Source organism: Homo sapiens, chromosome 12, assembly GCF_000001405.40.
Source record: "Homo sapiens chromosome 12, GRCh38.p14 Primary Assembly".
In the NCBI taxonomy this organism is placed as follows: domain Eukaryota; kingdom Metazoa; phylum Chordata; class Mammalia; order Primates; family Hominidae; genus Homo; species Homo sapiens.
This window is the reverse complement of record NC_000012.12, coordinates 385245-410480: the sequence shown is the minus strand read 5'-3', so window position 1 is coordinate 410480 and position 25236 is coordinate 385245. Positions and strand designations below refer to the sequence as shown.

General features: G+C 42.2%; 2 protein-coding genes and 1 long non-coding RNA gene across 6 annotated transcripts in view, besides 4 other annotated features; 2 read left to right on the top strand and 1 right to left on the bottom strand.

Moving 5' to 3' along the window:
- The window catches only part of CCDC77 (coiled-coil domain containing 77), a 53296-nt gene extending 32162 nt beyond the window's left edge, over positions 1-21134 (bottom strand). Inside the window, exons 1-3 of one of the 4 annotated variants that reach the window (NM_032358.4) lie at positions 8797-8837; positions 4917-4970; positions 1060-1113 (exon numbers count right to left, since the gene is read on the bottom strand). In NM_032358.4, coding sequence (NP_115734.1) covers positions 1060-1097 — 38 coding nt within the window. In that variant the 5' untranslated portion in view covers positions 1098-1113; positions 4917-4970; positions 8797-8837. Of the gene's footprint in view, positions 1-1059; positions 1114-4916; positions 4971-8796; positions 8838-20994 lie in introns of those variants that run through there. The other 3 variants (NM_001130147.2, NM_001130146.2, NM_001130148.2) reach the window with 3 other exon arrangements.
- Positions 3344-3638: an enhancer, noted in NCBI's record as "tiled region #4380; HepG2 Activating non-DNase unmatched - State 14:Gen5', and K562 Activating DNase matched - State 5:Enh". NCBI's record gives its function as "activates a minimal TATA promoter and a strong SV40 promoter by Sharpr-MPRA in HepG2 and K562 cells {active_cell/tissue: HepG2 | K562}" and the evidence as "EXISTENCE:reporter gene assay evidence [ECO:0000049][PMID:27701403]".
- Positions 8027-8579: an enhancer, noted in NCBI's record as "H3K27ac hESC enhancer chr12:511068-511620 (GRCh37/hg19 assembly coordinates)". NCBI's record gives its function as "activates a minimal SCP1, AML or CMV promoter by ChIP-STARR-seq in primed H9 embryonic stem cells {active_cell/tissue: H9 hESC(primed)}" and the evidence as "EXISTENCE:reporter gene assay evidence [ECO:0000049][PMID:30033119]".
- Positions 8994-9313: an enhancer, noted in NCBI's record as "active region_5778". NCBI's record gives its function as "activates an Ori minimal core promoter by ATAC-STARR-seq in GM12878 lymphoblastoid cells {active_cell/tissue: GM12878}" and the evidence as "EXISTENCE:reporter gene assay evidence [ECO:0000049][PMID:35858748]".
- LOC105369594 (uncharacterized) lies at positions 9071-20448 on the top strand. Its single transcript, XR_007063149.1, has 4 exons — positions 9071-9163; positions 9431-9588; positions 18642-18760; positions 19540-20448. It is a non-coding gene; the product is annotated as an uncharacterized LOC105369594 (long non-coding RNA).
- Positions 20704-20998: an enhancer, noted in NCBI's record as "tiled region #4015; HepG2 Activating DNase unmatched - State 1:Tss, and K562 Activating DNase matched - State 1:Tss". NCBI's record gives its function as "activates a minimal TATA promoter and a strong SV40 promoter by Sharpr-MPRA in HepG2 and K562 cells {active_cell/tissue: HepG2 | K562}" and the evidence as "EXISTENCE:reporter gene assay evidence [ECO:0000049][PMID:27701403]".
- KDM5A (lysine demethylase 5A) overlaps positions 21161-25236 on the top strand; it is a 109264-nt gene continuing 105188 nt past the window's right edge. The window contains exons 1-2 of the mRNA NM_001042603.3: positions 21161-21554; positions 24507-24584. Coding sequence (NP_001036068.1) covers positions 21390-21554; positions 24507-24584 — 243 coding nt within the window. The 5' untranslated portion in view covers positions 21161-21389. The remainder of the gene's footprint in view (positions 21555-24506; positions 24585-25236) is intronic.

Below are 25236 nucleotides of genomic sequence, written 5' to 3'. Positions count from 1 at the left end.
ACCTGGCCAACACAGCAAAACCTAGTCTCTACCGAAAATACAAAAATCAGCCGGGCCTGGTGGCACGCGTGTGTAATCCCAGCTACTCGGGAGGCTGAGGCAGGAGAATCACTTGAATCTGGGAGGCAGACGTTGCGGTGAGCCAAGATCATGCCATTGCACTCCAGCCTGGGCAACAAGAGCAAAACTCCATCTCAAAAAACAAAAAAAAAACAAAAATAGTACAGAAGAAGAGAAACCCTCCTGTGAAAATAAATCCAATTTGGTTGTCTGCAATTTATAACATAACAAAATAGTACAGTGGAGAAACTATACCAGAAGCTCTGAGTTATAGTTAATATATGTGCTCACTTGTAATAAATAAGCATGCAGAGATATTAAAATCTGTCAACTAGCATGAAGAAAAACTTAAACATTTTCCCAGTGATTAAAAACTTGTGAGAGAAATACTAGTTTACTTAACATTTCTTTTTTTTTTTTTTTGAGATGGAGTCTTGCTCTGTTGCCCAGGCTGGAGTGCAGTGGCGTGATCTGAGCTCACTGCAACCTCCACCAACTGGGTTCAAGCAATTCTCCTGCCTCCGCCTCCCAAGTAGCTGAGATTACAGGTGCACACCACCATGCCCAGTTAATTTTTTTTTTTTTTTTTAGTAGAGACGGAGTTTCACCATGTTGGCCAGGCTGGTCTCAAACGCCTGACCTTGTGACCTGCCCACCTCAGCCTCCCAAAGTGCTGGGATTACAGGAGTGAGCCACCGTGCCCGGCCAACATTTCATATTTTCTAAAGGGGATGTCTCAGGCTGGGCACAGTGGCTTATGCCTGTAATCACAGCACTCTGGGAGGCTGAGGTGGGAGGATTGCTTGAGTGCAGGAGGTCAAGGCTGCAATGAGCAATGATTGCACCACTGCACCCCATCCTGGGCACAGAGTGAAACTCTGTCTCAAAGAAAAAAAACTTTAGGAAATATGTTTCCAATACCTTTCCAGTTCCTATGCTTAGACTAAGGCTATACAAGTCTCGATTTCTTAACAACTTGAAAATAAGCAAATGTCTTACTTTCTGCAGACAGGGGTGTGTGTTGGGGTAAAGTTCATGCTGTCTTTTTCACACCTATCAAATACACAAAAATTCATAATTACGGGCCACGAATAGAAAAATAAAAACAGTACAGGATTAGACTGGTTCCCTCTTCAACATCATCATATTTGCTTCTTGGAAAGAATCTGATGTTTTAAAATGTAGTTTTTTTTTTCTTTTTTTTTTTTTTGAGACAGTGTCTCACTCTGTTGCCCAGGCTGGAGCTGGAGTGCAGTGGTGTGATCTCGGCTCACTGCAACCTCTGCCTTCTGGGTTCAAGCGATTCTCCTGCCTCAGCCTTCCAAGTAGCTGGGACTACAGGTGTGCACCACTACGCCTGGCGAATTTTTGTTATTTTTAGTAGAGACAGGGTTTCACCATATTGGCCAGGCTGGTCTCGAACTCCTGACCTTGTGATCCACCTGCCTCGGCCTCCCAAAGTGCTGGGATTACAGGCGTGAGCCACCACGCCCGGCCTAAAATGTAGTATTCTTTAAAGTATCTCCAAATCCTGAAATTCATGCCTTTTGAATTTTCAAAAGGTACTCCTCATAATTATTTTCAAATAAAAATCAGAATGGCATTGAATATTTAAATGGATAAGCACACAAAGTAGAAAAGTCTCCTTGTTATCTGCAACAACACAAAAACAAATCTACAATCTTTTCCTTGAAGTTATAGGATAGGAGGAGAAGATGCAGAAAAGTCTCTAATAAGCAAGAAACAGTACATAGAGCGAGGTGCAGTGGCCCGTACCTATAGTCCCTGCTACTCAGGAGGCTGAGGAGGGAGGATCCCTTGAGCCCAGGAGTTCAAGGCCAGCCTCACCAACATATTGACTTCCCCTGCCCCCACTCCCCTCTCCAAAAGCAGAAGTAGTAAATAGAAATTAAGGCAGAGTACCCACTATATCAAATTTAAAATGAATATAAAGCCACTGATGCTATCTTTATTTCGCGTACTTTCTCTATTATCTTAAGCAAAAGAAAAAAAATTACTTATAAACTTTAAAAGGCTCTTCATAATCTCCATCTCAATTGATAACCCAAGATCTTGAGCTCCTGTACTTTAAGCAACCTTATTATAGAAATTTTCATGAAGATAAACCTCATGGCTGGAAAGGGAATGCCATACCATGTTATATGATTGACAGAGACAGAAGGAGAGAGGGAGAGAGGCTGATTTTTTTATTGCTTTGGTGAAAACTTTCTTATCAAGCATTCGCTGTCAATCCACTCTGATTCTGAGCAAGTCAGATGATGTTCTGTTATGTCCTTCTACCTGGTATAATCTATTTAAAATCTTCAGTCCTGTGGCCGGGTGCGGTGGCTCATGCCTGTAATCCCAGCACTTTGGGAGGCCGAGGTGGGTGTATCACAAGGTCAGGAGATTGAGACCATCCTGGCTAACACGGTGAAACCCCATCTCTACTAAAAATGCAAAAAATTAGCCGGGTGTCGTGGCAGGCACCCGTAGTCCCAGCTACTCGGGAGGCTGAGGCAGGAGAGTGGCGTGAACCTGGGAGGTGGAGGTCGCAGTGAGCCGAGATTGCGCCATTGCACTCCAGCCTGGGCAACAGAGCGAGACTCCGTCTCAAAAAAAAAAAAAAAAAAAAAAATCTTCAGTCCTTTGGGAAAGAATTTTGTGTAAAAGTATGAAAAGAGATAATCACCACTGTTACTTCCATATACCATTTTCCTGCTCAGAACCCCACAGTGCCTCTCTCCCTGACTCCGTCAAAGCTTTCTTTGTTTGGCTTCCAGGACACCTCTTCCTGGTTGTCCCCTTTTCTTACTGGTCATTACTCATTGCCTTGGTGATCTCCTGAAGTCTCACAGTTTTAAATAGCATGTGCACATTAGTAGTTTTCAAATTGATGCCTCAGTCCTTACTCTGCCCTCCACTCTAGACTCACACATCTAACTGCCTACCCCGTCTCTCCATGGGGATGTCCAGCAGGTCTCCCAAGCTCGCCAAATATAAAACTGAGCTCCTGATACATACCTCCCACCACAAAAACCTGCTCTTCTCTCAGAATTCTACATTCCAATAAATACTAATTCTATGCTGCCAGTTGTTTATGACAAACAGACAAACTTGGTTTAAGAAATTTTACTCCTCTCTTTGTCTTACATGCCACACACGACCCATTAGCAAATCCTACTGGCTAGCTCATCCAAATATCTAGAATCTGACAACTACTTATCACCTATGCCCTCATTGCCCTGGTCCAGTCCACTGTTTTTGCTTTTGTTGTTTTAGATACAGGGTCTTGCTTTGCTGCCTAGGCTTGTCTCAAACTCCTGGCTTCACTCAATCCTCTCCCCTCAGCCACACAAGTAATAGGATTATAGGCATGAGTCACTGCGCTTGGCTTCCAACCCACTGCTATCTGTTGCCCAGATGACGACAACGGTCTCTTAACTGGTCTCCTCGTTCCACTTTTGTGTGTGTGAGACAAAGTCTTGCTGTGTCATCCAAGCTGGAGTGCGATGGCGCAATCTCGGCTCACTGCAACCTCTGCCTCCAGGATTCAAGTGATTCTCCTGTCTCAGCCTCCCGAGTGGCTGGGAAGACAGGCACATACCACCAAGCCTGGCTAATTTTTGTATTTTTAGTAGAGACGGGGTTTCACCATGTTGGCCAGGCTGGTCTTGAACTCCTGACCTCAGGTGATCCACCTGCCTTGGCCTCCCAAAGTGCTGGGATTACAGGCATGAGTCACCACGCCTGGTCCCCCTGTTCCATTTTCAACCTCATCCCTTATAATGTATTCTCAACACATTAATATATATGTGTCAAAACACAAAACTCCTCTGCCCAAAAGCCTCCAATGACTTTTCATCTTACTCAGAGGGTCAAGGTCTTTAAAATTGCCGACAAGGTCCTGTATGATCTGGCCAACCTCATTACTTCTGTGACCTCACCTACTACTCTTATCCTTGTTCACTGCGGTAAAAACACCGGCCTCTTGGCTGTTCTTCAAACGTGCCAGGCACACTTCTACTTCAGAGTCCCCGTACCTACAGTTCTCTTTGCTATGATGTTCTTTCCCCATTTATCTATGTGGCTTACTCCCTCTCCTCCTTCAGGGCTAAAATGTCACTTTCTTGATGAAGTCTTCCCTGACCACTCTACCAACCTCATCCCTCTTCTCTGTTTTACTTTTCTCCATTAACACTTACAACCTTGGCTAGTTGAAGTGGCTCACGCCTGTAATCTCAGCACTTTGGGAGGCCAAGGCGGATAGACTGCTTGAGTCCAGGAGTTTGAGACCAGCCTGGGCAACATGGCAAAACCCTGTCTCTACAAAAAATTAGCCAGATGTGGTGGCACATGTCTGTAGTCCTAGTTAAACAGGAGGCCGAGGTAGGAGGATCGCCTGCACCGGGGGATCAAGGCTGCAGTGAGCCATGATCACGCCATTGCAGTCCAGCTGGGGTGACAGAGTGAGACCCTCTCTTAAAAAAAAAAAAAAAAAAAAGTTGAACACTTATAACCATCTAATATTTAATGTCTGTCTCTCCACACTGGAATATGCAAACTCACTAAAGGCAGCGGGTTTTTATCTATTATGTTCACTGCTGTATCCCTAGTAACATAAACAGTGCCTGGCTCATACTAAGTGTATATGTATATATATACAACTCTCAATATGAATTTGAAAGACTGTTAAACATCCTTTTCTTCTGCTGGCCAGTCTATTCAATCTAGATTTAAAAATCTGTTTCTGCTTCTCTCATCCCATTTGTTTTCTTCTACAGCCAACCCTTCAAATACGCCATCTTTCTTCTAATTCTCTCCTTTAAAAGACTACTCTCCTCCTCCAAACTCACCTCCTTCCAAAATACGTCTCCAAATTGGGTCAATGTGCCTCTTGTCCAAATAACCTAGAAAATAAAGTTATTGGATTGGCATGGAAGGATTATGGGTAACATTTTTTTAAAAAAGCAGCTTTATGGAATGTAATTTGTGTACACCATTAAACTCATTCAAAGTGTAAATTCAATGATTTTTAGTATATTCACAGATACGTGTACCTATCAGCACAGTCCATTCTAGAAGTTTCGTCACTTCAAGAAAAAAACCCTGTGTCCTTCAGCTATTATCCCTGTCTCCCAGTCCTAAGCAACCACTAACCTACTGTCTCTACAGATTTCCCTATTCTGGACTTTCCTATAAATGGAATCACATAGTATATGGTCTTTTGTGACTGTCTTGTTTCACTTAGCATAATGTTTTCAAGGTTCACCTATGTGGTACCATGTATCAGTACTTCATTCCTTTTTGTGGCTGAATAAAATTCCATTGTACGGATATGGGTGACAACTTAAAGTTAAATTTCACTGTTTCAAAGCCATTTAAGAGTAATTTGAAGCGGCTGGGCACAGTGGCTCCTGCCTGTAATCCCAGCACTTTGGGAGGCCGAGGAAGGCGGATCACCTGAGGTCAGGAATTCAAGACCAGCCTGACCAACCTGGAGAAACCCCATCTCTACTAAAAATACAAAGTTAGCTGGGCATGGTGGTGCATCCCTATAATCCCACCTACTCAGGAGACTGAGGCAGGAGAATTGCTTGAACCTGGGAGGCGGAGGTTGTGGTGAGCCAAGATCGCGCCATTACACTCCAGCCTGGGCAACAAGAGCGAAACTCCGTCTCAAAAAAAAAAAAAAAAAAGTAATTTGAAGCTTTGAAAGACCCTTCTAACAACCTGCAATCCCTCTTCTCCTTCATAGTGACTGTCCTCACTGTTGCACATGTCTACGAAAAGTTGTCTACACTCACCTCTCTGGCTGCAAGACGGGGCCTTGCTATGTTGCCCAGGCTGGCCTTGAACTCCCGGACTCAAACAATCCTCCTCCCTTGGCCTTCCAAAGTGCTGAGATTACAGGCATGAGCCACTGAGCCAGGCCTCGGGCTTCTACTATGACATCTAACCAAGCTCTTATTGGTCAGCAGACATCCAAATTAATAAATTCAATTGCTCTTTTCTGTTTCTATCCTCCTCCATCCAATAGTTACTCCTTCACTTGTATTCTTAATTAGATAGTGCCAACTACCTATTTATTTATTTATTTTTTGAGACAGAGTCTCACTCTGTTCAGCCCAGGCTGGAGTGCAGTGGCACGATCTTGGCTCACTGCAACCTCCACCTCCTGGGTTCAAGTGATTCTCCTGCCTCAGCCTCCCCAGTGGCTGGGATTACAGGCACCTGCCACTGTGGCTAATTTTTTTTGTATTTTTAGTAAAGACAGGGTTTCGCCATGTTGGCCAGGCTGGTCTCGAACTCCTGACCTCAGATGATCCACCCACCTCTGCCTGCCAGTGTTGGGATTACAGGCGTGAGCCACTGTGCCTGGTAGTGCCAACTACCCTTTAAAAATATATCACTTTGGGACCGGACCTTGGCATGGCCAGGCCATGGCAAGACCCTGTCTTTACCAAAATTTTAAAAATTAGCTGGGCACAGTGGCAATGTAGTCCCACCTGCTTGGTGCGAGGATCACTTCAGCCTGAGGGTTCAAGGCTGCAGCGAGCAGTGATCGTGCCACTGCACTCTAGCCTGGACAACAGCGCAAGACCCTGTCTCAAAAAACAATTAAAATAGGCTGGGCACAGTGGCTCATGCCTGTAATGCCAGCACTTTGGGAGGCCAAGGTGAATGGACTGCTGGAGGTCAGGAGTTTGAGACCAGCCTGGGCAACATGGTGAAACCCTGTCTCTACAAAAATTACAGAATTAGCTGGGAGTGGTGGCACGTGCCTGTAGTCCCAGCTATTCAGGAGGCTGAGGCAGAGGATTGCTTGAGCTTGGGAGGCAGAGGCTGCACTGAGCTGAGATTGCCCCACTGCTCTCCAGCCTAGGTGACAGAGTGAGACCTTACCTGGAAAAAATAATAATAAAAATAAATATTGCTTTGTAGTTGAGAATGTGGGCTCTGATATCAGACTTGGGTTTGAGTCAAAGCCCTGCCTCTTATTAGCTGTGTACCTCAGGCAAGTTATCCTCTCTAAATTTCAGTTACTTCTATGTCATAGGTTGGTGTACGGATATAAGGCCGAGGGACAGTGTTTGACACATATATAAGCACTCAGTAAATGTGGACTATTATTATTATTGACAATTTTACTCCCTTGGCTCAGAGGTTCTGTCTTCAAGTTTCTTTATCATTTCCTCTAACCATTTCTTTGGGAACATCATTATTCCTCCTGTTTTTATTATTAACTCTGTCATCTAAAACACTACATGGCATACAGTAAGTAACAATTACATGTTGAATAAATAAACGACATCTCTTTCAACCTCTTGATTTGAATTAACAAAAATGTAGTGGACATTTTCACCCATAGTCCCACTGGCACTTGAAACGTTTAACTTAAAAAAGAAATCACTCAAGTTAGGTATTTTTTTAGCATCTCAAAGCTAACATTTCCTAAACCTAACACATCATCTTTTTATCCAAACATGCCCCTTCTGACTTTCCTATTTTAGTTACTAATTCAGCGTTTCCAAGCAACCGGGAGTTGGCAACTTAAATTCATCATTTGATCACTCATTCTTCTGAACCTCCTGTCTAACCATATGAATATCTTGTATATTTTATCTCCACAATGACCATGTTAATTCAGAGTCTCAATACTTCTTACCCACACCATTACAACACCTTAACGGTTCTACCTACTCCTTGCGTCTCCTGGACCATTTTCTTTAATAAAATACATCAGTAGCACCTCATAGCCTAAAGCATTAAATCCAATTTGTTAGCCTAGAATTCATGGCTTTCTACATAAGGGCCAAACCTAACTTTCCTGCCTTATTTCTCTCTACTCTCCTAAATGTACCGTTTCCAGATAACTTTCCTGCCTCCATACCTTTGTTCATGAGCTTCCCTCTAGCTGGAACACAACTCCCTCCACAACCCTCATAATTTCACTTAACAAAATCTAGTCTGTACATGAAAACTCATCTTAAATACCACCTCCTTTTTCTCTTTCCTGAGTCTCCCCATCCAAAATGATTTAGCAAAAATGATCTAAGTGCAAAAGAACTGCCTTTGAAATTATCTACAAGTCAACATATTAGAGTGCTTTATTGCTATCGTTTCTCCCATGCTAGCGTGCGCTCCCTACAGACAGAAATCGCGTCTTACTCTTCATTGCCTCTTCCAAAGGAACAATGCCTTTGTTTATAGGTAAATTAACGGGTTTCAGCTAGGGTCTCTGCACCTATCTCCAATACCCTTGCTTAGATATATTCTTATAGCTTGTCTACTAACAATTAACATTTGTGTAGCACTTTGAATTTTTTTCTTTTAGCCACGTGACAAATCTGTACAATTTATTATCCCAACAACCGTTCAGTATTTTCACTATCCCTTATTTCACAAATGAGGAAACTGAGAGCTAGACCAGCGTGGGGTTAGAGTACACCGGAACGCATCTCCAGGGCGCCCGAATCCCGTACTCCTTTTCCCACTTCATCCCATTCTCGACCGCCTCACTGCTCCAGGTCCCAACGCTCCAGCACTCCTGAGGTCTCTCCCTTTGCACATTGGAGCTTTCCTCCTCCGGTCCCCAGCCCCTCCACGGACACCACATTCAGGCTCACGTCCTCTCCTCCGCACTGCTTCCGCAGTTACTTCTCCCTAACCAGATTTTCTTCCCAAGGCTTCTTACCTAACCCCTTCACCCCAAACCCGAAACTCTATACTCACGACACACTAAGACTCCGAGTCAGGGAACGCAACTGAAAAACAAAAGTCAAACCAAGGAGCGGCGCGGCGCCACTGAGCGTCCCTGAATCCGTGCAATCGCGAAGAAGTTTACATGGCCCTTTGGAATGCGCACCAATGGGAAGGGCCTTCACACAGAGGCCCGCCCCCATCTCGCCCCTCCTCGCGGTGCTCCCGACCGCGCAGAGGTCTCTGGGAAATGTAGTTTTCTTCTGCCTGGAGCTCTGCGCGGGGCGACGCAGCTGGGCTGCAACCCGCTCCTCCAGGGACGGGTAGTGTGACGTTTGGGGTCAGAACGCACCACTTTCGGGCACCCCCACTTAAGATTGCTCAACTGCTTTGAGCTCAGGTACTTCGCGTTCATGGTACATATATGTTGTAATTTCCAAGCTTGTCTCAAGAGATAAAGATTCTAAGAAAAGTTTCTTCTTCCATGACCGGGTGGCCTAGAGCCAGGATAGGACCTGAGGTTCAGTTTCTACGGTCAGGGGACTATGTATTAAAATTCTACTATTTGTTCCATAGCAAACACTGCTTCCTTTTCCGGAGAAATGTAAGACACTGGGCTTTAATGATAAAAGCAAGTTCAAAATCCATTATGGTCTTATCTTTCCAGAAAGCAAGGTGTAAAGGTGGGGGAAAAGCACTTTCGTCTCAGAATTACAGCTACTGGTATGGAAAAGCTGGGGCCCTTCGCTGGTGTGAGTCCTAAGGATGTCTAAATGGAACGTGCATCTGCTACAGGCTCGCACTTTCCTTTATTGCGCTTCCCAGGTAACTGTTTTTACAAATGTAAGGTTTGTGGCAACTCTGCATGGAACCAAATCTATCTGCGCCATTTTTCCTACAGCACAGGCTTACTATGTGTCTCTGCACCACATTTGGTAATTTTCACAATATTTCAAACTTTTTCATAATTATTGTATATGTTATGCTGATCTGTTATCCTTTATATTACTATTATAATTGTTTAGGGGCACCATGAACCATGCCCATATAAGATGGCAAACTTAATTCATAAATGTTGTGGATGTTTTAACTGCTCCACAGACCAGCAGTCTCCCTGCCTTTCTCCCTCTCTTCTTGCCTCCTTATTCCTGTGATACAACAATATTGAAATTAGACCAATTAACAATCCTACAGTGGGGGTTCAAGTGAAAGGAAGAGTCACACATCTCTTACTTTAAATAAAAAGCTGAAAATGATTAAGCTCAGTGAAAAAGGCATGTTGAAAGCCAAGACAGGATGAAAGCCAGTCTTCTTGCACCAAAGTTAGCCAAGTTGTGCATGCAAAGGAAAAGTTTTTGAAGGAAATTAAAAGTGCTACTCCAGTAAACACAAAAATGATAAGAAAGTGAAACAGACATTGCTGATATAGAGAAAGTTTGAGTGGTCTGGATAGAAGATCAAACCAGCCACAGCATTCCCTGAAGCCAAAGCCTAATCTGGAGCAAAGTCCTAACTCTTCAATAAAATGAAGGCTGAGACAGGTGAGGAAGCTGCAGAAGAAAAGGTGGAAGATAGCGGAGGCTGGTTCGTGAGGTTTAAGGAAAGGAGCTATTTCCGTTACTTAAAAGTGCAAGGTGGAAGCAGCAAGTGCTGATGTAGATGCCGCAGCAAGTTATTCAGAAGAGCTAACTAAGGTAATTGATTAAGGTGGCTAAACTAAACTACAGACTTTTGATATATATGAACCAGCCTTTTATTGGAAGGAGATGCCAAGTAGTACTTTTGTAGCTAGAGAGAAGTCAATACCTGGCTTCACAGCTTCTAAGAACAGACTGACTCTCATGTTAGGGGCTAATGCAACTGGTGACTTTAAGTTGAAGCCAGTGCCCATTTACATCCCTGAAATCCTAGAGCCCTTAAGAATTATGTTAGATATAGTCTGCCTGTGCTCTATAAATGGAACAACAAAACCTGGATGACAGCATATATGTTTATAGCATGGTTAACTGAGTATTTTAAGTTCACCGTTTTATGTATGTTTTATTTTAAGTCCTACTGCTCAGGAAAAAAAGGATTTCTTTCAAAATATTACTTCTCACTCACAATGCAACTGGTCACCCAAGAGCTCTGGTGGAGGTATGCAAACAGATGAATGTTGCTTTCATGCTTGCAAACACAACAGACATTCTGCAGCTCATGGATCAAGGAGTCATTTTGACTTTCAGGTCTTATTAAGAAATATATTTCAGGCCGGGCACGGTGGCTCACATCTGTAATCCCAGCACTTTGGGAGGCTGAGGTGGGCGGATCACCAGGTCAGGAGATCGAGACCAGCCTGGCCAACATGGAGAAACCCCCGTTTCTACTAGAAATACAAAATTAGCTGGCCATGATGGCGCATGCCTGTAATCCCAGCTACTCAGGAGGCTGAGGCAGGAGAATCACTTGAACCTGGGAGGCGGAGGTTTCAGTGAACTGAGATCGTGCCATTGCACTCCAGCTTGGGCAACAAGAGTGAAACTCCGCCTCAAAAAAAAAAAAATATTTCATAAGGCTATAGCTGCCAGACATAGTGATTTCTCTGGTGGATCTGGGCAAAGTAAATCGAAAACCTTCTGGAAAGGACTCACCACCATTCTAGATGTCCTTAAGATCATTTGTGACTTGGCTTGGTGAGATGTCTCACACCTGTAAACCCAGCACTTTGGAAGGCCAACGTGGGTGGATCACTTAAGCTCAGGAGTGCATGACAAGCCTGGGCAACATAGAAAACCTTGTCTCTATAAAAAAATACAAAAACTAGCCAGGAGTGGTGGCATGCACCTGGCTACTTGGGAGGCTGAGGTGGGAGGATTGCTTGAGCCTGGGAGACCAAGGTTGCAGTGAGCCGAGATTGTGCCACTGCAGTCCAGCCTGAGTGACAGAGCAAGACTGTGTCTCAAAAAAAAAAAAGTAAAAATATATTTAATAAAAAAATTTTAAAAAGAACATTTGTGACTTATGGGAGGAGGTCAATATCAATAATAACAGGAGTTTGGAAGAAGTTAATTCCAATCCTCTTGGATGTCTTTGAGGGGGTTCAAGACTTCATGGACGAAATAACTGCAGATGCTGTGGAAGTAGCAAGAGAACTAGAATTAGAAGTGGAGCCTTGGGAGGCTGAGGCAGGAGAATCGCTTGAACCCGGGAGGCAGAGGTTGCAGTGAGCCCAGATCGCGCCACTGCAGTCCAGCCTGGGCAACAGAGCAAGATTCTGTCTCAAAAAAAAAAAAAAGTGGAACCTGAAGATGTGACTGAATTGCTGCAATCTCATGATGAAACTATGGATGAAGAGTTGCTTCTTATGAATAAGTAAAGAAAGTGGTTTCTTTAGCTGGAATCTACTCCTGGTGAAGATGCTGTGAACATTGCCAAAATGACAACAAAGGGTTTAGAATATTCCATAAACTTAGTCGATAAAGCAGTTGCAGGGTTTGAGGATTGACTTCAACTTTGAAAGAAGTTCTACTATGGGTAAAATGCTATCAAACAGCATTGCATGCTACAGAGAAATCTTTCATGAAAGGAAGAATCAATCAATATCATGAAAGGAAGAATGAAAACAACTTCATTGTTGTCTTATTTTAAGAAATTGCCACAGCCACCCCAGCCTTTAGCAATCAGCACCATGATCAGTCAGCAGCCCCCAACATCAAGGCTAGACCCTCCATCAGTGAAAATATTATGACTTGGCTTAGACGATCATTAGCATTTTTAGAATAAAGTATTTTAAGGCCAGTCGCGGTGGCTCACGCCTGTAATCCCAGCACTGCAGGAGGCTGAGACGGGCGGATCACGAGGTCAGGAGATGGAGACCATCCTGGCTAAGACAGTGAAACCCCATCTCTACTAAAAATACAAAAAATTAGCCGGGCGTGGTGGCGGGCGCCTGTAGTCCCAGCTGCTCGGGAGGCTGAGGCAGGAGAATCACTTGAACCCAGGAGGCAGAGGCTGCAGTGAGCTGAGATCGCGCCACTGCACTCCAGCCTGGGTGACAGAGCAAGACTCTGTCTCAAAAAAAAAAAGCATTTTAAATTAAGGCATGTAAATTTTTTTAAAGAAATAATGCAAACTAGAAATAATGCACTAGACTACAGTATCGTGTAAACACATAGCTTTTTTTATGTACCAGGAAACCGAAAATTTCGAGCAATTTGCTTTATGGTGATATTCACTTTATTATGGTGGTCTGGAACTGAACCTGCAATATCTCCAAGTTATGCCTGTACTCCCAAACCTGCTTTTTTCTCCCTTGTGATTTTCTCTGTTAATTACATTAATATCTTCCCAAACATCTCGGCTCGGTATCTTTTGTCTATTTCCTTTCTTTTAGCCCCTGCAATTTTTAAAAAATCAAGTCATGGTGAGCCTGTCTTCATATATATCTTCCTATTTATTTCCACTATGTGTCTTATTACCTTTCACTTGGTCTATTACCATAGGCTTCTAACTGGGTGTTCTTGCCTCCAATCCATTCTATAAAAGGTGATTTTTGTCCAGGCTGGTCTTGAACTCCTGACCTCGTGATCCACCCGCCTCAGCCTCCCAAAGTGGTGGGATTACAGGCATGAGCCCCATCTCTAGTAAAAATACAAAAATTAGCTGGGTGTGGTTACATGTGGCACATGCCTGTAATCCCAGCTACTCAGGAGGCTGAGGCAGGCGAATTGCTTGAACTCAGGAAGTGGAGGTTGCAGTGAGCTGAGATCACGCTGTTGCACTCCAGCCTGGGTGACAGAGCGAGACTCTGTCTCCAAAAAATTCAATTCCGGGTCTGTCACACTCCTGCTTATAAACTTTGATGACTCCCCACAGACTAGAGAATGAAGTTCAGACAGTAGTATGGCATTCAAAGACTGCAGCTATCTGACCCCATTTGTCTCTATTAGAAGAAATTGATGTGGTCATCTCCTGAACACAGGACGCACTTTCCAGCTTCAGTTCACACTCTTCCTTTTATCTGGATTGGCCCTTTCAGTGCATCTTCACTCAAAATTCTTACGAGAGCCAACTCAAATACTACCACTTTTGTAAAATCTTGACTTATCTCCCTAATTGGAAATACAGTTGTCCCTTGCTCAGTATCTGCTAGGGATTGGTGCCAGGCAATTCCTGGGTACCAAAAGGCATAGATGCTCAAGTCCCTTACATAAATGGCATATTATTTGCATATGACCTATGCACACCCTCCCGTATACTTCAAAACATCTATAGATTACTTATAATACCTAATACAATTTAAACAGTTGTTTTTCTTCCTTTTCCTTTTTTATTTATTTATTTTTTCAAGAGGGAGTCTTGCTCTGTCCCGCAGGCTGGAGTGCAGTGGCATAATCTCAGCTCACTGCCACCTCCGCCTCCCAGGTTCAAGCGATTCTCTGGGCTCAGCCTCCCAAGTAGCTGGGATTACAGGCACCCACCACCACACCTGGCTAATTTTTGTATTTTTAGTAGAGATGGGGTTTCACCATGTTGGCCAGGCTGGTCTCGAACTCCTGACCTCAGGTGATCTGCCCGCCTTGGCCTCCCAAAGTGCTGGGATTATAGGCGTGAGCCACCTCGCCTGGCCAGTGTATTGACTTTTTTAAATTTCAAAATGTATTTATTTTCTTTTATTTTTTATTTTTTAGAGACAAGGTCTTGCTGTGTTGCTCAGACTGGACTCAAACCCCTGGGCTCAAGCAATCCTCCTGACTCAACCTCCTGAATAGCTGGGATTACAGATGCATGCCACTGCACTTGATTTACTGTATTGTTTTATATTTTTTATTTATTTATTTATTTTGAGACAGAGTCTCACTCTGTCGCCCAGGCTGGAGTGCAGTAGTGTGATCTCAGCCCACTGCAACCTCTGCCTTCTGAGTTCAAGCGATTCTCTTGCCTTAGCCTCCCAAGTGGCTGGGACTACAGGCATGCACCACGACGCCCAGCCAATTTTTGTATTTTTAGTAGAGATGGGGCTTCGCCATGTTGGCCACTCTGGTGTCGAACTCCTGACCTCAAGCAATCTACCCACCTCGGCCTCCCAGAGTTCTGGGATTACAGGCGTGAGCCAGCACACTCGGCCTGTACTGTTTTTTAATCTGTATTATTTTTATTATTTATTATTATTTTTATTGTTTTTTTTTCCAAATATTTTCTGTAGTTGGTTGGGTTCGTAGATACGGACTCTCTAAATGAGGAACCCACATATATGGAAGGCTAGCTGTAATCCCTCCTGATTGGATATTCATTTAGCAATTTGTCCTTTTATTTTTATAAAGTAGCCTCTATTCAAATGTCACCAATCTGGCTGGGTGCAGTGGCTCATGCCTGTAATTCCAGCACTTCGGGAGGCCAAGGCAATAGGATTGCTTGAGCTTAGTAGTTTGAAACCAACCTGGGAAATACAGCCAGACCCTCTCTCTATAGAAAATAGAAAAATAAAACAAAATTACCCAGACGTGGTGGCACACACCTGTAGTCCTAGCTACTCAGGAGGCTGAGGGAGGAGGATCGCTTCAGCCCAGAAGTTTGAGGTTACAGTGAGCCAAGATAATGCCATTGCACTCCAACCTAAGTGAGACAGAATGAAACCGTGCCTCAGAAAACTAAGAACAAAAAACAAATGTCACCAATCTGTGAGCCCTTTGATGATCACCCAAGCCCCCTTACTTTCTCCACTTTAAAAAAATCTTATCATCACTAAAATAGTATATATTTATTAGCTTGTGCTTATTCTTTTGTCTTCCCTTTCTACTAGTGAGCTGTATGAGAGCCGATACTTTGTCTTTTTTTGTTGTTCACTGTCATATATCCAGCATCTGGAAGAGTGCCTGGCACATAGAGATGTGGAATAAATGTTGAATGCATGTATAATCCTCCTCCCTACAGGTGTGCTGCCTCCCCCCATTAGATTGCTTTTCTTCCATTCTATATCTAAATTAATGCATCATCATTCATTACAATGCCAAAGAGTCATTCTCCAATTCATCACTCTCTCGCAATCACACAACATCAAATAGATAATTTTTAAAAATCACACTGGTGGCAAAGGATCAAACAAGAACAATGCTTGAAGGTCATTGGAATGCCACAGTGGAAATTCGTATGAGAGAAAGGGCCTAAACAAGAGCAGCATTGACCGTGGTAATACTAAGATGCTATTTGCCATGTTCACTTTGACATTTGCATGGATGGTACAAAAGCAACAGTGGGTAAAACGCTGGTCCCTCAGCATGAATCATGGTAGTGACACCAAACCATACTTGGAGTCTTTGCCTTCATTACATAGATTTCACTGGGGAAAGCCAGTGTCATTTAAGAATGCCCTTCATAAAGGAGTAAAAATTATTAACTGTGATAAATCTGGACCTTTAAATATGTCTTTTGTCTGTGCGATGAAGTAAGAAGAACACATAACGCACTCAGTTGCATACAGAGGGTTTTCTCGAGGAAATAATACCAGCTCAACTAGCCACTTTTTTCACAGAACACCAGAAGGACTAACAGACAAACTATGGTTGTTCAGACTTAGATACGGCAGATCTTTTCTTGAAAATGAACAAAGTGAGTCAATCTCTTCAATGAAAACAACTAATGGTATTTGTTGGCAATAATAAAATTTGAGCTTTCAAGTGAAAATTATAATTTTGGAAAACTTGTTTCTGTCATCATGAGTTTGACAACTTCCCAATTGCCTGATAAATTGATGGTGATATTTTTGTAAATTTTTTTGATATTATATAATAATACATGTCAACATTAGGAAAAGCCGTATAACTCAGTGAACCAGTATTTTCTAAATGACCAATGCATGATGTTACAAAAGCATGACTGGGTAAAAAAGTCCATTCAAGGACAAGATTGGCTGGACGCAGTGGCTCACGCCTGTAATCCTAGCACATTGGGAGGCCGAGGCAGGTGGATCACCTGAGGCCAGGAATTCGAGACCAGCCTGGCCAAAATGGCAAAACTCCGTCTCTACTAAAAATACAAAAATTAGCTGAGTGTGGTGGTGGGTGCCTGTAATCGCAGCTACTCAGGAGGCTGAGGCAGGAGAATTGCTTGAACCCAGGAGGCAGAGGTTGCAATGAGCTGAGATCGCACCATTGCACTCCAGCCTGGGGGAAGGGCGAGACTCTGTCTCAAAAAAAAAAAAAGGACAAGATTGACTACCATTTTAATGTAACAGTGTAAAAAAGTTAACTGATAAAGTTTTAGATTCCAAATTGTTAGCCTTTAAGAAATTACAGTCATCTGAGAAGGTTATTAAAATGCTTCTCTGCACTACGTATGGTGGCTCATGCCTGTAATCGCAGCACTTTGGGGGGCCGAGGTGGGAGGATCCCTGAGCCCAGGAGTTTGAGATCAGTCTGGGCAACATAGCAAGATCCCATGTCTACAAAAAAATTTTTTTTAATTAGCTGGGCATAACGATGCACACCTGTGGTCCTAGCTACTTGGGAGGCTGAGGCAGGAGGATTGCCTGAGCCCAAGAGTTGGAGTAAGCTGGGGTTGTGCCACTGCACTCCAACTGGGCAACGGAGTGACACCCTGTGTCTAAGAAAATAAAAATTAAAAAATAAATAAAATGCTCTTCCTTTCCCAACTACATATTTGTGTGGTGCTGGTTTTTCTTCATATATTCCAACCAAAAGAACATATTGTAACGGGTTGGAGAAACAGATATGATAATCCAGCTCGATCCTGCTAAGCCAAATGTTAAAAAAAAAAGTACAAAAAATGTAAACCAATGCCACTCTTCTCACCAGATTTTTTTGTTTTGGAAAATATAGTTATTATTTTTAAAATGTATTTAAATATAAAAGTTTTATATTGAAATGAATAAAATATTTTAAACATCTTAGGTTTAATTTCTAATATAGTAAACATCAATATGTATTATGCATATAAACAAGAACTTTGGGGGTTCTCAATAATTTTTTTTTTTGTGAGACAGAGTCTTACTCTGTTGCCCAGGCTGGAGTACAGTGGCACCATCTTGGCTCACTGCAACCTCCGCCACCCAGGTTCAAGCGATTCTCCTGCCTCAGCCTCCTAAGTAGCTGGGATTACAGGTGCCCACCACTACGCCCGGCTAAGTTTTGTATTTTTTAGTAGAGATGCGGTTTCTCCATGTTGGCCAGGCTGGTCTCGAACTCCTAACCTCAAGTGATCTGCCCGCCTCGGCCTCCCAAAGTGCTGGGATTACAGGTATGAGCCACCGTGCCTGGCCTCAATAATTTTTAAGAGTAAAGGCGTCCTGACACCAAAACAGTTTGAGAATCACTGGTGGAAATTATTCTTGAATTAAAATGACATTTGTTTAAGAATTCAGTAATTTTGACTTTTCCCTCTCTGAAACTAACCCTAATTAATCTGATTTTGTGAGGTTTTATTGCATTTTTTAAAAATCCAGGGACCACGGTCTAGCCAAATGATTATCAGATCTAAGTATTCATTTTAGTCTATTTTAACACTCAGGATAATAAATTTCAGATAAATAATACTCTAATTTTTTTTTTTCTGAAAAGTTACTGTCAAGGATTGTTTAAGTAATGCAAATGATCCTTTTAAACTACAGTTATACTCCACTGTTCTGACCAGAAACCCAAATACTATTGACTCAGTTTAACATTGTGTGTGCAGAATGCCCTCATAGAAGCTGATGAAACACAATTTGGATTTTTACAACAGTGATTTTCAAAGGGGTAAGCATGAGAGGTGGGAGTGGGGTTCATGTGCCCCCCCTGAGGGAAGCATCAGAATGTGAGGTGGTTGTAACTACAGAAGTTTCTTCTGTTCGCACCAGAGATGTTAATATTTGCTGCCCTTCTATTCACTGTCTTCTCTTACAGACTTCCTGCTGTTGTAAGCAACCACTACAGATTTCTCAGAAGTACTGTGGCAAATAAAAATGATTGAGAATCATTATACATTTTCTATTCTACTAGAGAGACAGTTTAAAATAAAATAGGTAAGTATAATCTGAAGAAAATAACAGGAAATAAATAGGACCAATCAAAGCTTTTAAGGATTTGTGCTTATACTGAGGTTCTATCAGGTTCTCACGCTCTGTTAATTTGAAAGCAAAACCATTACATTTAATTGAATGTTTAATAAAATGAATTATCAGTGGCTTGTTTTATTCGGAATTCCATTATTTCTTTTTCCGAATAATATAGTTTTCCAGATTTAAGTGGTAAAAATCAAAGACTTTGTTGTAAATTTTTTTTTTTTTGGAGACAGAGTCTCACTCTTCTTGCCTAGGCTGGAGTACAGTGGCACGATCTCGGCTTACTACAACTTCCACCTCCTGGGTTCAAGCAATTCTCCTGCCTCAGCCTCCTGGATAGCTGGGATTACAGGCGCCTGCCACCACGCCTGGGCTAATTGTTGTACATTTTTAATAGAGACAGGATTTCACCATGTTGGCCAGGCTGGTCTCAAACTCCTGACCTCAGGTGATCTGCCCGCCTTGGCCTCAAAAAGTGCTGGGATTACAGGCGTGAGCCACTGCACCTGGACATAAATCATTATAATAATTGTATGGAATTATTATGAATCACAGCGTCCTGTGTCTACACCCCTTTGTAATGTGACATTGTCACTCTTCTCATAAAAAATTGGAATTTTCCCACTTCTTGAATCTGGGATGGTCTTATGACTTGCTTTGACCAACAGAATATGATGGAGTGATCTTGTACATTTTGGAGTCTAGGCTTTAGGTCTTTGCTTCCACTCTCATCTTCTTAGAATGCTAAGACCACCATGCAGTGGAAAAGCTCCATCTACCAGAAGATGAGAAGCCATGTGGAGAACTAAGACTTCCCAGCCAATAGCCAGCACCAACTGCCAGACACGTAAGTGAGGCCATCTTGAACCCTCCAACCCTAGATGTATTCACGGTTCTCCAGAGAAACAGAACCAATAAGATGTGTGTGTGTGTGTGTGTGTGTGTTTATAAAGATATTTATTTTAAGGACTTGACTCACTTGATTATAGAGCTTCCAAGTCCAAAATCTGCAGGGTGGGTTGGCAGGCTGGAGGCCAGGGAAAAGGTGATGCTACAGTTCAAGTCTGAGAGCCATCTACTGGCAAAATTCCTTCTTGCTCATGGAAGGTCAGTCTTTTGTTCTATTCAGGCCTTCAGTTGATTGGATAAGGCCTACTCACATTATGGAGGGCAATCTGCGTTATTCAAAGTCCCCTGATTTGTTACTCAGAGGTGAGAAAAATCATGGTGTACTAAAGTCACCACAAAAACTTCTGTAGATCATATGGAGAAGCAGGAGAGATGAAGCTGGAGAGCAAAGCAGCAAATCAGCAATTAAAAAAGATGTTTGGAGTTGTTGAGTTTGGAGATGAAAAGTGACAAGATGAATTCTGGATTTTAGACAAAGCAATCCAACGTGTGGATGGAGAGGGATTTGAGAGGAGAAATCAGCTGTTGTCAGTAAGAGTATTTAAATTAGGATACTGGTAACGGGGATGGAGAGACACACGATTATACATGGGAAGTGAGAGCAGAAAGAATTAGGATTATTTCTTGATTTTTTTTTTTTTTTTTTTTTTTTGCTCAGGCAACTGAATAGATGAAGTCATTAATGGAAACCAGGAACACTGAAGAAACAGTGAACAATTAAAGTACTTTGAGTTATCAAAGTGAGATGTCCTGCAGGTAGCTAGACGATACTGGCTGGTAATTCAGGAGAGCTGCTGCGTCCTGTGTAAAAGGAAAAGCAATTCATGGATGGTGGCTAAAGCCAGCTGGCAGGATTTAGGGGATGGGTTAGACCTGCACTTGTTTTGATGGAGAAGAGGCGGGTATAAAGTGGCAGAGTGAGATTACTGTAAAATATCTGCATTCAAAGGGCTAAAAAAAGAGAAATGCTGGAAAGGCTACTTGCTATAAACGCAGCAGGGTAGGTTAAAACAAATTACGAAGCACGGGCGGTGAGGCGCGGTGCTTAAGATTAAGCCCGGCGTGTTTTCGAGTGCACTGATACACAAAAGGGAAAGGGACCCTCCTCACCGGAAGCACAACCTCTGCCCTCTGGGGCATTACACATTCCTCCGCGCCGGAAGAAAGCGTCACGTCGCGTCGCGCCTCGCCCCGCCTCGTTGCGCCTCGCCCCGCCTCGCCCCGTCGGCTTCCCTCAATCCGTACCTCTAGTAAAGAAGAGCTTGTGCCCCTCCCCGACCCCTTACCAAGGGCGAGCTGCGTGGAGTCGTTGGACTGGGCAGAACTTTGGCGGGCAAGGAGACAAACAGCCACACTGTGCTGCCGGGGAAGAGAAGAAGAAGGAAAGGCCAGACACACAGGCGTCGTGCAGCTGCGGAAGGATTCCGTTTCCTGCAGGGGGCGGAGGGATTTGACAGCACGGTAACTTCCGGAAAAGTCCTGAACCTCAGTGGAAAAGCCTTGCAAGAAACAATAACAAACGGGAGGAGGAAGCGATTCTGGGGTTTCTGTGTTGAACGGTTCTTGTCCGCGAAGATGCGCTTCGGCCTCTGTCAGGGGACTTGAACGGGCTTAGTGGGCTTCAGCCAGCTTTTCTCCACCGGTTCCCCACGGGGACCCCCCCCCCCCCCCGGCCGTTGCAATGGCGGGCGTGGGGCCGGGGGGCTACGCGGCGGAGTTCGTGCCACCGCCAGAGTGCCCCGTCTTTGAGCCGAGTTGGGAGGAGTTCACAGATCCGCTCAGCTTTATCGGCCGCATCCGGCCTTTGGCGGAGAAAACCGGCATCTGCAAAATTCGGCCGCCCAAGGTACCTCAGTCTGTGAAGAGAGAGGGGGAGAAGGAAGAATGGGGGAGTCCGTACACTGGGTTTAGCTTTACTTTTCTGATCCTTGTCTCGTTTCATATGTACTCTCTTTTGAGACAACTGGAGCCTGTTTCTGGATGTTTTTGCCTCGGTTTCTTTTGTGGTCTTATGTAGACACGTCTGAAAGCGAGAAAGTGGTGTCTCTTGGGCCTCTTCCGCCTAGAACTTGGGAACTGATACTTTTCTCTCAGCCGTGGGCCTAAAGCCTTTCGTTAGCCGATATGGTGTTTAAAGTACAGTATTATGACGTGACGTATTCTTCCCTCACGTATCCTCATTATGGTTTGATAGTCGGCTATCTCTTTATTCAAGACCTGGTTGGATCAAATATTTGCAGGCCTCATCTCAGGGCTAGGGTTTCTGAAAAGGTTATCTGAGCTCTAGTCTCACCGGATGGTATTACTAGACAAGAACTCCAGACTAATTATTGCCGCAGTGAAAAAGTCTTAGCGGGGAAAGAGAAGGAGCAGCAATAATTCTAAAATTTAGAGGTTTAGGAAAAATTGGTTTATAGTGGAGGTGGAAGGAAATGTTGAAATCTCTTGACGTAGGGAACTCAAGATCAACGATTTTAGAATCACAGTTATTGCAGATAACTAGGTTTGCCTATAAGGTTAATTATAATCTCACCTTTGAGGTAAGGAAAACAGATACTATCCCTTGTGTGGAGGGGATTAATGCCCCAAGAGGTTGAGTGATTACTCAAGGTCAAAGGTGTTTTTCTTTACTCATTAGACCAGTGCTTTTTAAATGATGTTGCTGGACCACTTGCACCAGGGTCAACTGGATGCTTGTTTAAATGCAGATCTCTAGTCTTGTTGTGGAAGTTCTGGAATCTGCTTTTCTAGCAACTAGTCTCAGATGATTCTCATGTAAGTTGAGGTTTTCGAACCATTGCTTTAGTCGTTGCTTGTTAAAGGCATTTTGCTTTATGTTTTGTCTAGTATTAGTAATGATAAAATATTAAGCACTGTTAACCAGTGTTGCTTTTTAAAAAGCATCTGCCGTCACCACTGACTACCACAGAGATAGGCACCGCAGCGTATTAAAAACTTAAATGACAGCGAGGAGGAACTAATTTAACACCTATAGATTGTTTGCTTTAATCTTTGAAGCCCTGACAGGTAAATAAAGTCCGCCTTTTACAGATGAGGCTAATCTGGATAAGTTAAAACACCAAATGTGTGATCTTGGGCAAGTGGCAAAGTGTATTTTGAACCTAGATCAGTTTTTCTGATTCTGAAACAGACGTAATGCTCTCACTATGTTGAATGACTTTGTTTAAGGTTATAGACTACTCATTTCAAGCAGAGGATTAACAAATAATTGCTATGATGATACGCATTGCCATCCTCCAAAAACTTCCATTTAACCCTTTTTTCTATCATAATTACCTAATATTAACAAATCTTAAGCATTGAAGGTTTTCCTAAGTCATATTTTTATCTACTCTTGAATTTATTAATTAGAAATTCTATTCACGGTTACTTTGATTAAAAAAAGTTTTTTTACTTAAAAAAATGCTGAAATAATGCTTTCTCTTTATGTCACATTATTGAAAATAAATCTTGTTTACAATCAGAATTTAATTTTAGTTTTGGCAGATTTCTTCAGTTTCCAAGGTAAGACTTTTTTTTTTTTTTGACTACTCAACGTTTTAAAATAGGTTTACTGTTATTCTGTTATTTAGGCCAAATCAAACTATGTTATTTAGACCCCACTTGAAATATGCTATCTAATTTTAGTTATATCACAGTCTGGAAATTGTCCTTGTTCTGCGTGTTTTTTGAATATTTGGGTTCCCAGAAGCTGGGCTTTGAACAAAACATTTGTGTAACATAAAGTGCTCTGTCACATTACACATAACATAAAAAAAATCGTTTAAATAAATAAGTTCTTAAAAGTTTCTTTTTAATCTTAAATTTTACCCTTTTTAGTTTAAACACAAGTTTTTTTTTTTTGATCTTGGTAAACCTGAATGTTTACTAGATACTGTTTTGTGGTACATGACCTCATTGAATTCCACTTGAGTAACTTGGGAAAGCATAATTGTGGGAGGTAAACGGTGGGACTGGTTTGAAGAGGATTGCTTCTCTGAGCAATACAGGTTGAGCATCCATCCCTACTTTAAAAATTCCAAATCCGAAATCATCCAAAATCTGAATTATTCTTTTTCTTTTTCTTTTATAGAGATAGGGTCTCGCTCTGTTGCCTGGGCTGGTCTTAAGCTCCTGGGCTCAAGCGATCCTCCTGCCTCAGTCTCCCAATGTGCTGGGATTACAGGTATGAGCTACTGCACCCAGCTTGAACAGATTATTTTTTTCATTGTATTAATGGTATGGTATATTTTTTCTGTTAACTACTTAAGTGGAAATAAGTGTAAGGAAATGATTGTTTATTGGTAGCATGTAAATTCACAGTCAGGAATGATGGTGATGCCAGACAACCACAAATTGTCCACACTGGTGGCTGAGCTACTGACACCTTTCTTTTCTGACGGTCCAGTATACACAAGCGTTATGCACCAGATTATTAAAAATATTGCATAAAATTACCTTAGCCTATGTATAACTTTATATGAAACAAAAGAATTTTGTATTTAGGCTTGGTTCTTTCTCCAAGATATCTCATTATGTATATGCAGATATTCCAAAATATGGAAAAATCTGAAATCCAAAACACTTCTGGTTCCAAGCATTTCAGATGAGGGATACTCAACCTGTATTAAAATTATTTTATCGAAAAGAATTGCTCATTCTGTCTCTATAATAAAGAAGACTTGTAAGTTAGTCTATTAGCACCATGATTTGTGGCAAAACCCCCCTTTAAGGGAATAATTAATGCATTCCTTGTTTACATACCACTGTGTTTTTTTAAAAAAATCTTTCTATTTAGGACTGGCAGCCTCCATTTGCCTGTGAAGTAAAAAGCTTTCGTTTCACTCCAAGAGTCCAGCGCCTGAATGAACTTGAGGTAAGTGTTTTGTCACTATTTCTGCTTCCTGATTCATTCTTTATATTAGGGCTGTAGGTAGAGAACTTTGAGAAGCTCATGTACCACAGCCTAGAGTTTGTGTTAATTGGTATTGAATGGAATAGTTACTTGATGTTTGGAGGAAGAGTATGATTTTTTAAAAACTGTGCAAAGTTGTTATGGTTTTTCCATTTAACTGAGAAATGTTCAATGCTTAGCTTCAGAGACTTAGAATTCTTAAATTCTACTTTCTCTAGTGTTTCTTACTCTACTAAAATTTTTGTTAATCTTGGAAGATTTCTTTCTCCCTCGGTTCTTGGAAAATGGATTTTTAAATCCTATTTTAAAACCCTAGTTTTCAGAGTTTGTTTTGTTTTGGTTTGGTTTTGGTTTTGGTTTTAATGGAACTTTGCCAGGAGTGTTAATCTGATTTATTAAGATTTTAAGTATTACTTTTTAATTACTTTAAGTATTATTTTTTAATTACTTTAAGTATTACTAATTTATCTTAAATTTTCTAAATGGAAGTGTACGTTTTGCTGTTTTTTCTGTTTATGGGTTTTCAGAAGGTTCTTCATTGTGATATGAAAACTTTTAGAGTACAGAAGGAAAATTATTGATAGCAAAGGTTTATTATGTCATTCTGAAGTTT